Genomic DNA, 15,185 nt, shown 5'->3' with positions numbered 1-15,185 from the left:
TTTATTTTTCGGTTTTCTGTGTTCCTGTCTCTTATTTTTTAACAGCTGTATTGAGATATTATTTACAAACCTTAAAGTTCCCTCATTTAAAGTAATAATTCAGGCCCGGCGAGGTGGCTTACACCTGTAATCCCAGCAATTTGGGAGGAAGAGGCATGTGGATAACTTGAGCTCAGGAGTTCAAGACCAGCCTGGCCAACGTGGTGAAACTCTGACTCTACAAAAATACAAAAATCAGCCGGGTGTGGTGGCCTGCGCCTATAGTCCCAGCTACTTGGGAGGCTGAGGTGGGAGGATTGCTTGAGCCCGGGAGGTTGAGGCTGCATCGAGTGGAGATCGTGCCATTGCACTACAGCCTGGGTGATAGAGTGAGACCTTGTCTCAAAAAAAAAAAAAGTAATAATGCAATGATTTTTAGTATATTTACAGAGCTGTGCCCTCATCACCACCATTAGTGCCCCAAAATGAAATACTGCGCCCATGAGTCTCTCACTCCCCACTTACCCCCTCCTCCTGCCCTCGGCAGCCACTAATCTATATATAAATTTGCCTCTTCCGGGTATGTCATGTAAGTGGAATCACACAATACGGGGTCTTTCACAGCTGGCATCTTTCACGTAGCATAATTTTTCCAAGGTTCATCCGTGTTGTGGTGCGTGTCATCAGTTCTTACTCCTTCTTATTGCCAAATAACGTCCCGTGGTATGGATGTAGAACACTGTATTTTGGCATTCGCTAGGTGATGTAATTTGGATTGATTTGAGGTTTTGGTAGTTATCAATGATGCTGCCATGAATATACACATACACAAATACAAGTTTATGGCCGGGCGCGGTGGCTCACGCCTGTAATCCCAGCACTTTGGGAGGCCAAGGCGGGTGGATCACGAGGTCAGGAGATCGAGACCATCCCGGCTAACACGGTGAAACCCCGTCTCTACTAAAAATACAAAAAAATTAGCCGGGCGTGCTGGCGGGCACCTGCAGTCCCAGCTACTCGGGAGGCTGAGGCAGGAGAATGGCATGAACCCGGGAGGTGGAGCTTGCAGTGAGCCGAGATCGTGCCACTGCACTCCAGCCTGGGCGACAGAGCAACACGCCGTCTCAAAAAAAAAAAAAAAAACAAAATACAAGTTTGTGTGTGTACATATGTTTTCAGTTCTCTTGGGTACACATCTGAGAGTGGAATTTCTGGGTCATATGGTAACTCTATGTTTAACATTTTGGGGAACTGCCAAATTATTTTTCCAAGTCCCTGCACCATTTTACATTCTTATCAGCCAGGTATGAGGGTTTCCGCTTCCCTCATCCCAGCCAACACTTATTCCATCTTTTTTTTTTTTTGAAACAAAGTCTCGCTCTTGTCCCCTAGGCTGGAGTGCAATGGCGTGATCTCAGCTCACGGCAACCTCCGCCTCCCAGGTTCAAGCGATTCTCCTGCCTCAGCCTCCCAAGTAGCTGGGATTACAGGCGCCTGACACCATGCCTGGCTAATTTTTTGTATTTTTAGTAAAGATGGGGTTTCACTATGTTAGCCAGGCTGGTCTCGAACTCCTGACCTCGTGATCTACCCACCTCGGTCTCCCAAAGTACTGGGATTACAGGCGTGAGCCACCGCGCCCGGGGCCTATTCCGTCTTTTTGATACAGCCACCATCCTAGTGGGTGGGAAGTGGCATCTTACCGTGGTGCTGATTTGCATTGCCCTGGTGACTACTGATGTCAAACAGCTTTTCAGTCATTTGTGTTATCTTCTTTGGAGAAATGTCTATTCAAATCCTCACTTATTTTTGAATTGCGTTGTTTTTATCTTGTTGATTTGTAAGAATTCTTTATAAATTCTGATTTTAATCCCTTTTTGGATATACGATTTGCAGTTTTTTTCCCCATTCTTTGGTTTCTCGTTTCATTTTATTGATGTCATTTGAAGTACAGTTTTAATTTTGTTTTGTTTTGTTTTGGTTTGGTTTGTTTTTGAGTCAGGGTCTTGCTCTATCGCCCAGGCTGGAGTGCAGTGGGGTGATCTCGGCTCACTTCAACTTCTGCCTCCCGGGCTCAAGCCATCCCCCCCACTACAGCCTCCCCAGTAGCTGGGACTACAGGCGTGCACCTCCATGCCCAGCTAATTTTTGTATTTTCGTAGAGATGGTTTTGTCATGTTGGCCAGCCTGGTCTCAAACCCCTGATCTCAAGTGATCCTCCCTCCTCAGCCTCCCAAAGTGCTGGGATTACAGGTGTGAGCCACCATGCTGGCCTAGTTTTAATTTTGACAATGTCCAATTATTTTCTCTTTGTTGCTTGAACAAAGCAAGACAGTTGCAGTAGTAAATATTGTGTGTGTGTGTGTGTCCGTGTGTGTGTGTGTTTTGACATGGAGTTTCGCTCTTGTTGCCCAGGCTGGAGTGCAATGGCTCGATCTCAGCTCACCACAACCTCCTCCTGCTGGGTTCAAGCGATTCTCCTGCCTCAGCCTCCCGAGTAGCTGGGATTACAGGCATGCACCACCACGCCTGGCTGATTTTTAAAAATTATTTTTAGTAGAGACAGGATTTCTCCATGTTGGTCGGGCTAATCTCGAACTCCTGACCTCAGGTGATCCACCTGCCTCGGCCTCCCAAAGTGCTGGGATTATAGGTGTGAGCCACCACGACCGGCTGTGTGTTTTTTTTAAATGCTTGCTCTTTCATTCCCATCTAAAAGGAGTTACTGGGGAGAAAGTGATCTGACTCCGAAATCAACGTGGGAAATCCACAAAGAAGTCATGACTTAGAACAAGGCTGTTTCTGGATCCCACGTTCTTCAAAGGCAGTGGCCAGATGCACATGCCCTGTAACAGTCACACTGTCCTGAGGGCTGCTTTGCCCCACACTCACGAATGGGCTCAGGCAGGGAGTCCATAGTCACTCGGAAGCTTGCATTCCGGACCAGGGTCTGGCAGTGGTGACGGACACTCACTGCTATGCACGGAGCCTTCGAACAGGTTATATTTCAGGAAGCAGGGTTTTGAGACTCTCCCAGCATTGGGTATTTTGTTCCAGAAAGTCTTTGAGAACAAGCCCTTCGGGATGAGGAAGAAATAAATTCAACTTGTTGGCTACTTCCAGAAACCTCAGGGGGTCAATGGATTATGAGATAATTTTTAAAATCCCCATTTTCTGCAAGAAGCAATCTTTGCATTTGATTTAATTCTCTTTCTAGGGAAAGCATGCTTAGCGGCTGGAAGTTTTAAAGTTAGGTATCTAAGTTTCCATCTTGAAAAGCCATGAAATTCCTTGGCCACCTTCCTCTTTTCCCCTGGCTTCTCCATTTCACACAGGGCACAAAACATCACCATGGCAAAGCAAGAGGGATTGGAGCTGGGTATTCTACCGAGCTCAAACCACAGCAATGCAGTCACGGGAGGTCCGTTAAGTCCGGTATCTACGCAGCTGTGATTTCTGGCTCTAGGAAGGTCTTGTGTTATTTTCAGCATCAGATGAGACACAACTGGAAGGAATAATTTCTTTCCTGGCAGGAAAATCCTAATGTGACCACAACCACTGAAGTGCTTCCGGGAGGGTGCTTTAGTGCCAACTAACTCTGTTTAATAGAGTTGCCTCATCTTTCTGAACTTTCCTTCCCACCAAACAAAAGTCACCTTCAGGGCTGGGCGCGGTGGCTCACGCCTGTAATCCCAGCACTTTGGGAGGCCAAGGCGGGCGGATTACGAGGTCAGGAGATCGAGACCATCCTGGCTAACACGGTGAAACCCCGTCTCTACTAAAAATACACAAAAAGTTAGCCGGGCGTGGTGGCGGGCGCCTGTAGTCCCCGCTACTCGGGAGGCTGAGGCAGGAGAATGGCGTGAACCCGGGAGGCGGAGCTTGCAGTGAGCTGAGATCGCACCACTGCACTCCAGCCTGGGCGACAGAGCGAGACTCCGTCTCAAAAAAAAAAATAAAAAAAAGTCACCTTCAGATTTTCTAGGCAGCAAACCCTTCTAACAGGGATTCTTGACAATGTGCAGACAGACGGGCTACAGGACTTGTGAACCTGGGTGATCTTCACTGCCTGAGATTTGAGCCATTCTTAGTGGGCGGCCGATGCTGTACAGGATGGGCTCCCAGCAGATGGCTTTGGGTCCTTGGGCACCCAGGTTCTGTTCCAATTCCATGGGATTGGGAGGGCGTCTCCTCGGGTCGGATTGCGGTATAATCTTCCCAGGTGACGCCAGTCACAGGACTAGGTAGGCTCTTTTTACGATCATTCCCTCATGGCTCTCAACTTGCAATAGGGGTGCTTCGATTGAGGAAATGTCTGCTGGGTCTCCATGTGTATTAGTCCGTTTTCACGCTGCTGATAAAGACATGCCTGAGACTGGATAATTTATAAAGAAAAAGAGGTTTAATAGACTCAAAGCTCCACGTGGCTGGGGAGGCCTCGGTTAATCACGGCAGAAGGTGAAAGGCATGTCTTACATGGTGGCAGACAAGAGAAAATGAGACCCAAGCGAAAGGGGAAACCCCTTATAAAACCATCAGATCTTGTGAGATTATTCACTACCACGAGAGCAATATGGGGAAAACCACCCCATGATTCAATTATGTCCAACCGGGTCCCTCCCACAACAGGTGGGAATTATGGGAGCTATAATTCAAGATGGGATTTGGGTGGGGACACAGCCACACCATATCACCGTGTGAACAACAGAAGCAGATAAAATCCGTCCCATCTAATGTAGGTATTACAACCAACTATAAGTATTGTATTTGTAAAGTAGCTTCATGAAAATCAGTCTAAATTAAATTCACATAAGCTACATAAAGAAATACTACAAGGGGGCAGGTGTGGTGGCTCACACCTGTAATCACAGCACTTTAGGAAGCTGAGGCAGGCAGATCACTTGAAGTCAGGAGTTTGAGACCAGCCTGGCCAATATGGCAAAACCCCATCTCTACTAAAAAAATACAAAAATTAGCTGGGTGTGGTGGCATGTGTCTGTAATCCCTGCTACTTGGGAGGCTGAGGTGTGAGAATCACTTGACCCTAGAAGGTGGTGGTTATGGTGAGTTGAGATTATGCCACTGCACTCTAGCCTGGGCAACAGAGAGAGACTCCATCTCAAAAAAAAAAAGAAAGAGAAGAAGAGAGAGAGAAAGAGAGAAAGAGAAAGAGAAAGAAAAAGAGAAAGAAGGAAAGAGAAAAGGGAGGAAGGAAGGAGAGAGAAAGAGAAAAGAGAAAGAAAGACCTTCCCCTGCTCCCTGAATGCTGCAGACATAAGTCGAGCAGAAGAAATCAGATTTCACAATACACGCGCTGACTTTTATCCCACCCACTTTTGCTGTGGACCAGAGCCTGGGCTGCAGAGGTGGTTTCTGGAGGCCAAGCAGCTTTGGCCTTGGCGCCTGTGCTGTGGGAAGGCCAAGCTGACTTGAGGCCTTTGCTCCCACCCCTGCAAAGCCTGGATTCTGTGTGTGCAGAGCCCCGCCGGCTTCCCAGCCCTGTGCTTCAGATGGTCCTGGGTGCGTGGGGACACTCGGTGACAGATCGGGAAGTGGGCACTGTCTCTCCTATGAAGCCGGCTTGAGAGGGGACACACAGTGTTTTGAAGACTTGGCCCGGCACATTTGGACAGGTCTTGCTGAGTGATCACTGCACAGCTCTGAGCCCCACAGGTCCTGGCTATCCACAGGCATGAAACACCAGCCCCAGCACGTCCCTGTGAGGGTGCCATGGATGTCACCCAGGACAGCACTCTTCCATCTGTAAAGGGCTCCGTTATCACATGCCTCTGCTATTGTCATACTTAATTTTCACTTTACACAGTTCACACTCAGGTGTGCAAAATTAGGGCTTGATTTTCCTAGAACTGAGTTGTATCTGTATCTGGAGCACCCATTCTGGTTGATGGCAGAAAAAGTAGTCGCGTGGATTCAGATACCTTCCAACCAACCTCACTCCAAGTAGGATTTTCTTTGGTACCTCTTTCTTCCTGGGGTCAGCTCCAAGGGCAGGGGCCTTGGTGAGGAGATGCCATCTGCTCTTGGCCCACCCTGGCTAGAGCTAACATGCACAATTGTCCTGTCATGGTCTCTGGTCTCAGGCTCCCTGGACACCTGGTGTGTGGTCCTGCTGGTGTCTGCGGATGCTTCTACCCCAAACCCCTGTCCTAACCAGGAAGTGACGTTGTGGCCGGCAAGTTCTCGCTCTCAACCTGCATCGTCTCTGTCCCTGGCCACATGGGTAAGCATCATTTTTCTGTCCCCACTGGGGACTCCTGGCTTTGCTGTGGGGCTGACCCTGCACCCTCATGCAGTCCTCTTCTGAGCTCTGGGGTTGGGGCCACTCATTCTCTGAGAACTCCGAGCTGGAATTGGAACGCACCTCTCTTCTACTCTGGGACCCCCAAACCTATTTGAAGACTTCTATGATGCCCTTCCCACCACTGCCCAAGTGAGCCTGGCATTTTAGACTTCAAAGCCAATAAAAATAGCAAAGGCATTTCTTTCTCTCTCCCTCCCTGGCACTCCATATCCTCACACTCAATGCAGAGCCAAACAGGGGTCTCACCCTCCAAGTGAGGGACAGACCCCTGAGCTCATCCTGTCAGTCCCCAGAGAGTCATGGTGCCCACGTTGCCCTCACATCCAGCCCCTCAGGCAGGGCCCTGGGCTGATTCTCACAGCCGGCCTCCAACCCCTGGTGGGGGGTGTGGAGTGTAGATGGTGTGGGGACCACCACTTCCTCCCTGGCCTCATGCACAGCTTGAAATCCCACAGCACAGAAATGTTTCCCTTTGAGGGTGGGTAACATGGACTTGTGTCCCAGGACTGGGAAGAGCTTGGGGTCTGGCTTCAGCCTGGCTCCTTACTCCAGAGAGGGCTGGGATGATCACTTTCCTTCTGGGTCGCCGGGGTTCTCGTTGGTGAAAGGTAGAGGATGAGTCAGGGTCTGTAAACTGGCAGCTTGAGGGTTCAAATTAGTCAGCAGATGAGACGTTTTAGGGCCTGGAAACTGCGGTCCCTTTCCTGGAGGGCATATCCCCACCACTCACTGGCCAGTGTCACTCATCTGCACTGTTGCTCTAGCCTGGTCAAGGCTTACACTTGTATCTTCTCATGGCAGCCCCCAAAGATGCTCACATGGGAATCCTGGGAACCTGTGAGTGTGTTACTGTATTAGTCTGTTTTCATGCTGCTGATAAAGACATACCTGGGACTGGGTAATTTATAAAGAAAAAGAAGTTTAATGGACTCAGTTCCACGTGGCTGGGAATCCTCACAATTATGGCAGAAGGCGAAATGCACGTCTTACATGGCAGCAGACAAGAGAGAAATGAGAACCAAGTGAAAGAGGTTTCCCCTTATGAAACCACTTGAGATAGTTAGTAGGTCTTGAGACCTATTAACTATCATGAGAACAGTATGGGGGAAGGTGCCCCGTGACTCAATTATCTCCCACTGGGTCCCTCTCACCACACATGGGAATTATGGGAGCTACAATTCATGATGAGATTTGGGTGGGGACACATCCAAACCGTATCAGTTACCTTACCTGGTAAAAGGGACTTCTCAGATGCGATTAAGCTAAAGATTGTGAGAGGGAGAGATTATCCTGGATCCTCTGGGTGGGCCCAGTGTGATCACAAGGGTTGTTTAAATGAGGGACACACAGAAAGGTTTGACTGCCAGAGAACCATCAGAGCGTCGCAGCGTGAGACACAGTCAGCCATTGCTGGGTTTGAAGATGAAGGAAGGGGCCATGAGCCAAGGAATGCAGGCCGCCTGTGTGGAAAGGACCAGGAAACAGATTCTCCCCTGGAGCCTCCAGAAGGAACCAGCTTGACCTCAGCCCAGCAAGACCTGTTTGAGACTTCTGACTTCCAGAACTGTATGGTAAGAAATCCTGGCAGTTTTAGGCCACCAAATTTGTGATAATTTCTTACAGTTGCAATGGGAAACGAGTACACTCCCTCTTATGTTCTCAGGTGGGTAACTTTGCCTCCTAACCCTGGACATTTGGCCATGTCTGGAGATATTTTTGGTTGTCACAGTTGGGTGAGAGGTGGTACTGACATCTAGTGGGTAGAGGCAGGAAAGCTCCCATAACAGAGTTATTCAGCCCGAAATGCTGTGCTAAGATTGATACCAGGCCTGAGCTCCGGTATGCGTCACATTTTGGACTGTGGACTGCCCTGACAGGCAAGTTCTTCCTTTAGAGGAAAAAACACCGCCTGCCGCAGTCAAGGCTCGGGGCACGGCCCAGGAGGTGCCCTGGAGAAGACTGAGACCCGGGTTGCAGCAGTGAGCCCCATTCTGGCTGGTGGGAGAAAACGGCGATCTCAGGACAGACTTGCGGAGAGCGCGGACTCCCGTAAAAAGAAGAGGCGCGGGCGCCTGCTCGCTGCCCGGCCGCTTTCCGAGGGAAATACCCACGGCGGCCACACGATGGCAGCCTTGCCCAAACCAAAGCCCGCCGGGCGCGCTCCGAGGTCCGCAGCCCCGAGTCGGTGCCCCCAGGCGGTGGACGCGGGGCCGCCCTCCCACAGAATCCAAGGGCGCTCGGCCTGGGTGGGCGTCTTTAGCTGCAGCTAGAAACTCTGCGCTTAACAGGGGAAAGAAACAGAGCCGCACGGACTGCACGCTCCTGCCTGCTCGTCCGCCTCGATGTAAACAGCTCATCTGTGCCAACGTGGAACTACGTTCTCCCCATCCCCACGTTTCAGTGCTGTGACAAGACAGATAACACAGCTGAGATTTATTCTTCAAAGGGGCTCGCGTGTCTTTTCTTCTTCTTTTTTTTTGACTGAGTCTCGCTCGCTCTGTCGCCCAGGCTGGAGTGCAGTGGCGATCTCGGCTCACTGCAGCCTCTGCCTCCCGGGTTCAAGCGATTCTCCTGCCTCAGCCTCCAAGCAGCTGGGACTACAGGCGTCCGCCACCACGCCCAGCTAATTTCTGTATTTTTAGTAGAAACGGGGTTTCACCATGTTGGCCAGGCTGGTCTCGAACTCGCGACCTCATGTGATCCGCCCACCTCGGTCTCCCAAAGTGCTGGGATTACGAAAAAAAAAATGTCTAGCTTTCATTGTAAGTCCAGGAGTGCAGACCCCAGATTTCCCTAATTACTTCATTAACCCCATAGACTTGCAAATAAATAAATACATACGTAAACAATTCAACTAACCCACTGCAATGCACCCTGCCTCCCTTCACCACAGGTTGAAAGTGGGGGGCCTTGAGACTCACGTATTCCTTGGGATTCCCCACCCGGGCACAAAAGCTGGGGGGTGCAGTGGGGGCCGCCCACTTTCTCCCTCTTAGCCTCTCTGGCCCTTGGGCATTCTATAGAAAACACGGGGGCCATGGGCCAAGAGGCACCCCCCGATCCAGCTGTGATCTGGACTCCCTTCTGTTCTGTGTCATCAATTTGGCCCCATTTTCATCTGTAGTTTTTTTGATGTGTTATTTGGCTTCTTTTCAGCAGCAGCAGCAGCAGCAGCCAAAATACTCTGGGGCCAGTGTGCTTCGTTTATAAAATGGGGACAGTGTCTCTCTGGAAGGATTCGCTGGGAAGATGAAGGTAAATGTGCAGCGTCCCAGGGATGCCAAGTTCACAGTGGCCCTGGCTTGCAACGATGAGAATGGAACTGGGGGTGAGAAGAGGGAAGAGAGGGAACAAGGAGGTGGAACATCCAACAGAACGTGCTGGGGCCGGGCGCCCCTACCTGCCCCCAGGGAGGTTGAACTGAGATAGCTGGGAGCTGGGGGAGGCAGACCTGGTACTTGAATTGGGGTGGGAGGGATGGAAGATGCCCTTCTAGCCCAAGAAGCCCTCCCCCTAGTTAAACCAAGCTGGGACTGGTTAACAGAGGTGCCCAAGATCCTCCCAGCCACAGGGTGCCCCATCCTCCGGGGACTACCGACTTAAGGATAGCATGCTCTCAGCTTATAGAAGTTCTAATTACTGTTTTAAAACTGGTTCATGCACTTTGGGAGGCTGAGGTGGGAGGATTGCTTGAGCTCAGGATTTCAATACCAGCCTGGGCAACATAGTGAGATACCATCTCTACAAAAAATGAAAACATTAGCTGACCATGGTGGCACATCCCTGTAACCCCAGCTACTTGGGAGGCTAAGATGGGAGGATTGCTTGAGGCCACAAGTTTGAGGCTGCAGTCAGCTGTGATCCCACCTTAGTACTCCAGCCTGGGCCACAGAGCGAGACCCTGTCTCAACACACAAACAAACAAAAACAAAACAAAACAAAACACTGGTTCATGCAGTCATCCTTCCCATGCACACTGGTGGCTTCCATGGGCCAAGTGCTGTGCTGAGGACTGGTACAGACGCGTGGGTATGGCAGAAAATTATCCTTCTACAGCCCTTGGCTCCCAAGGACCAGATGCAGGTGCAGCCAGCGAGATGAATACAGGAGGGGACTTCCGAGGAGGGGCAGGTGGGGTCCACTTGTGGATATTTATGCTGGATTGTAAGCTCCCTGAAGTCAGGGTCAGGGCTCACAGCGCCCTCAGTATTGATGCAATCAGCGCCGTGTGAGTGTCAGCTGAAAGTCTGAAGAGCTAGAAAGAATCTCCAGGAGAACTTGGACTCTGCCACATCTGGTGGCATTCCTGCTGCTGTGGTGTCCTGCATGAAGAAACCCTGAAGTTCATGGGCTCGGCACACACCTGGGTTAGCATCCTAGCCTGAGGTCCAGGTGACAGCTGTGTAGGGCGTGCAGTGGCAGAGCTGGGTGTCCCAGGCAGCTGGGAGGCCCTGGAGTGGGAACAGGGACCCTTGCCTTTAATTAGTCATATCTTGCTATATTTCCACACACTGCCCAAGTACTACACCACTAACAATGCTATTATTGGTGTATATACAGCTAGACTTTGCTTTAAAAGTGAAGCATTTTATTCTATACTAGAAATCATACCGCACATGCAGTTTAATTCCTGTTTTTTTAAAAATGTGAGAACTACCTATTTCACCCCAGTGTTTTAACCATCATCTTTTTTTTTTAATAGAGACAGTCTTGAACTCCTGGGTTCAAGTGATCTTCCCGCCTTAGCATTCCTAAGTGCTGGGATTAGAGGCGTGAGTCACCCCACCTGGCCCGTCATACTTTAAGTCTGCCTAAGATCTCATCACATAGCTGCACCACGGTGGACACCACCGCTTTCCTCCTCTTGAATGTTTAGGGTCCTTCCTGTTTCATGCTGTTATAAAGAACGATCTAGGCTGGATACGGTGGCTCACGCCTGTAATCCTAGCACTTTGGGAGGCCAGGACAGGTGGATTGACTGAGCTGAGGAGTTTGAGACCACCCTGGGCAACATGGTGAAACTCCGTCTCTACTAAAATACAAAAAAAAATTAGCCAGGTGTGGTGACATGCACCTGTAGTCCCAGCTACTCGGGAGGCTGAATTGCTTGAACCCAGGAGGTGAAGGTTGCAGTGAGCCGAGAGCTCTTACCCAAAGGAATAAAACCAAAGAGGGTACAGGAAATATTTTTTGTTAGGGGAGGATTTCTGATACCCTAGTTTGATAGTGAAACTGTTTTGATAGCGGAAGAACTAGTGGCATTGTGGTGGGGGGATGCGGACCGGGCTGTAATCCCGCAGCACGCTGGCCGCATTTGGAGTGGGTTGCACGTGCCTCCTGCTCCTAGGGCCCTCTGCCTTCCCTCCCCTGCATATCAGAACACAGGGGAGGTGCAGGCATGCCTGGCAGAATGCATGTGGCAGAATAACGAGCATGGTGATTGCTAGTGTTCCGGTGTGACCAGGTAGCTCTGATTCCCCAGAGTGAGTCTGAGGACCCTGCTTTGGATGTGAGATGATTTTGAGGGCTGTGCGGATGGCTGTTATTAAGTTTAATAGTTCTCTGTTGATCCTGAAGTTAATTTTTATTTGAGGCAAGTGGTACTCCTTTTGATTGACAGTTGCCCTATGAAGTTGATATTTACATACTGTTTGCAAGTATAATAATGAGTTGACTTAAGAAAATAAGTAAACAAAAATACAAGTGGCAAAATCGTGAGGATGACATGGAAATGAATATGTTTGTTAAACCACTAAAAAGGCTGGGAAGAAGTCTCCTAAATGGAGAGCAATGAACCGACCAGCACCTGGGGCAGGGCGGGGAGGCAGGGCGGCGCCTTGGTAAAACTTCCTCAGGGATTTTTCATCCTTCCTGTGTTTTCTCCTCCTCCTCTCTCAGGTTTGTGATCATCCTCTCTCCTCACTTCCTGTACAACAAAGAGAAAACACAGAACTGGGAGTCTGGTTAAGTGGCAGAACACAGCTGGAATGTTGATGTGGCTTTGTGTTCACAGCAGGTGACCTTGGGTGGGAAGTTTGACTCTCTGAGCCTCAGTCTCCTCACCTGTGAAAAGGGGATGATGATATCCTAGTCCTGGTGTTGCTAGGTGGTGCAATAAGCTGATGTAGGTGGAGGCGTCTCAGCTGTAAGGTGGAGCAGCTGTTCCACAGTGCAGATCAGAGGGCAGTCCATCCAGCAGGTGTCATCTGCCTCCTGCATTCATTTTCTCCACTTCCAGAATAGCCCGATTTTTGCCTGAAATCCCTCTCTGCCTCTTACCTGGTGGTTAGAATAAGGCAGGTGACCCAGGCCTAAGCCAGTCAGAGCATAGGATTCTCCTGGGTCACGCAGGGTGGCAAGTTGGCTTGAGCTGGTCCAGACAGAATGAACCTCAGATGCCCGAAAAGAGTAGAAGTAAGTGTGAAAAAGCTGCTGCCATCTTGTGACTACAGGGCAGGGCCAGAAAGTGGAATGGGAGCTGAGAGATGGGGAGACCTGGGAACTTGGGATTTACTGAGTCTCTGAACCCAGCTCTGACTGAAGCCAGAACTACTCCTAGAGTTTTCAGTGACAAGAGTTAAAAATCTTCCGCTTTTGCCCAAGTTAATTCGAGTTGGTTTTCTGCCCCTGAAACCAACAGTCCAGACTGACACATTCCTTCTCCGAAGTCTACTATCTTTTGTAATAATGGAGGGAAAAGAGAATGGTTATATGCAACCACAGATGGTTAGAGCTGTACAGGCCTTCAGGATGATCCAATTCTTCCTATTTGCTTGAAGCATGACTTCCTTGGGCCTTAGGGACTTTTGCCTTCATAGGCCCCTTCCTCCATAAAAATATTAAAAAATATATTTTGGCACTGTGTTAGTATAAAGACAAACATACTCCAAGACAGATTGTATTTACTTACTTTTCTAAAAAATAAATTAAAATATTTCCTTGGGCCTTGGACAAGATGCCTATGTACTTAATGGATAAATCAACTCCGGCGGTGTTAACTTTTCTTGCTTGTATACTTTTTTTTCTTTTTTCTTTTCTTTTTTTTTTTTTTTTGAGATGGAGTCTCACTGTGTTTCCCAGGTTGGAGTGCATGGGCGCAATTGCAGCTCACCGCAATCTCTGCCTCCTGGGTTCGAGCGATTCTCCTGCCTCAGCCTCCTGTGTAGCTGGAATTACAGGCACGTGCCACCATGCTCGGCTAAATTTTTGAATTTTTAGTAGAGATGGGGTTTCACCATGTTGGCCAGGTTGGTCTTGAACTCCTGACCTCAGGTGATCCTCCAGCCTCGGCCTCCCAAAGTGTTGAGGTTACAGGCTTGAGCCACTGTGCCCAGCCTGATGTATACATTTTTGTCATGGGCATACATTTGTGATGAACAGTTGGTTCCTAGGGCAGGCACATCACTCTTCAGCTGATCTACAGCACATATTAACGGCCACATCAATGAAGGCCATTTATGAATTAATAGAACAGGTATAACAATATTATGGATCCCGGTGGGTGAGGGCTCAGACTAGTGATCACTTCCGATTGGCTGAATGCATTTGTGGTCTGATTAGGCTGAATGTGATGGGGATGGAGTGCACAGCAATGCTTACTTCTGATTGGCTGAATACGCTTGCTGTCTGACTGGCTGGAATGTAACAGGACGGCACTAAAGAGCACTGCTCACCTCCGATTGACTGAATGCACACGTGGTCTTGTTGGCCTAAGTGTTAGCCAGAGACCCACAGACTGCAGGCTGAAGAACCAACCCTCTCATGAAATCATGGTGGTTGTATCAGAACAGAAACTTCTCATTTGTGTCGATAAATCTCTAGCATAAAATGTCGCCAGTGCAATTCTGTCTGTAAAGGTAGTGGAAATCCACGAGCGTTTATGTTGCACAGATGACCTCAGACCTGTCCTCCACAGAATGTAAGCCTCCAGAGTGTAAGCATCTTGCCCTCACTGACTGTCTGGATGCTGCCTTGGGGACCAACAGCCTTTGCAGGCCTGGGGCTGGGTCCGACTTCAACTCCTGGTGGATCTGGGCTGCCAGAGCTCAGCGGGTGGGAGAGAGCTCCACGTTCAGCTCCATCGTACCCCCTTTCCCATGCCCCCAAAGCGCCTCTCTGGCTTTTCCTGAAAAGTCCCACACTGAGGCTCTGGAACTCTGCCATTGTAGGTGGAGCAGGGTAAGTGTAGACCACGGGAATTTTCAAATATTCAGGAAGAAGTAGCCCAGCTTAAATAGCCATGAGGCTTAAGAGTGGGTCTGAAGGTGCGCCCCGGACCAGCAACATCAGCATCAGCATCAACAGAGGACTTGCTAGAAATGCAGATCCTCAGCTCTCACCCCAGACCTGCGAATCACAGCCTCAGGGAGGCCCGGGAATCCTTGTTTCAACAAGCGCTCCGGGGGACGCCGATGCACGCTCAGGGGTGGGGACCTGCGCTCTGTAGGGTACCTTCCCTGAGAACACAGTTTTTTCCTTCCTTTGGAGGAGGATTTTCTGTGACAGCTTTGCTGACCCGCACTCCCCGCAAACAGGCTCCCGGGCCGGCTCTAGCCCAGACAGACAGGCCCTAAGACCCCATCGGCGGCGGCGCACCGGGGGTCCCACTAGCCCAGGAGAGCTGAGAATCCCGCTATAGCGTCCCCTTTTAGCGCTCTCCACCAAGCCGAATAGGTCAAAATCCTTTAAGCGTTTTGGCCTTGACTTCTCTTACTGAGGCGGCAGCGATAGCTAACCTGTTGTTTAAGAAGCTCCCAAGGCCGCGCTGCCGCGCTGTGACCACGCATCGGAGGGAACACGTTTTCCTGCGGACGGTGGATCCCGGGTCGCGGCGCGCGCTCCGCAGCCTCCCCGCGCGGCCACTAGATGGCGCTGTTGCACTTTC

The 15,185-nt window shown here is 50.0% G+C and overlaps 5 annotated features.

Annotated features, from left to right (window-relative positions):
* Positions 8,284 to 8,578: a silencer, noted in NCBI's record as "tiled region #6096; HepG2 Repressive DNase unmatched - State 4:PromP". NCBI's record gives its function as "represses a minimal TATA promoter and a strong SV40 promoter by Sharpr-MPRA in HepG2 cells {active_cell/tissue: HepG2}" and the evidence as "EXISTENCE:reporter gene assay evidence [ECO:0000049][PMID:27701403]".
* Positions 8,284 to 8,598: a biological region, named in NCBI's record as "Sharpr-MPRA regulatory regions 4169 and 6096".
* Positions 8,304 to 8,598: a silencer, noted in NCBI's record as "tiled region #4169; K562 Repressive DNase matched - State 4:PromP". NCBI's record gives its function as "represses a minimal TATA promoter and a strong SV40 promoter by Sharpr-MPRA in K562 cells {active_cell/tissue: K562}" and the evidence as "EXISTENCE:reporter gene assay evidence [ECO:0000049][PMID:27701403]".
* Positions 14,226 to 14,801: an enhancer, noted in NCBI's record as "H3K4me1 hESC enhancer chr15:98965386-98965961 (GRCh37/hg19 assembly coordinates)". NCBI's record gives its function as "activates a minimal SCP1, AML or CMV promoter by ChIP-STARR-seq in primed H9 embryonic stem cells {active_cell/tissue: H9 hESC(primed)}" and the evidence as "EXISTENCE:reporter gene assay evidence [ECO:0000049][PMID:30033119]".
* Positions 15,005 to 15,114: an enhancer, noted in NCBI's record as "active region_10139". NCBI's record gives its function as "activates an Ori minimal core promoter by ATAC-STARR-seq in GM12878 lymphoblastoid cells {active_cell/tissue: GM12878}" and the evidence as "EXISTENCE:reporter gene assay evidence [ECO:0000049][PMID:35858748]".

This window comes from Homo sapiens, chromosome 15 (genome assembly GCF_000001405.40).
Source record: "Homo sapiens chromosome 15, GRCh38.p14 Primary Assembly".
Lineage (NCBI taxonomy): Eukaryota > Metazoa > Chordata > Mammalia > Primates > Hominidae > Homo > Homo sapiens.
Note: the sequence above shows the minus strand (reverse complement) of the source record. Positions and strands in the feature narration are given on the sequence as shown.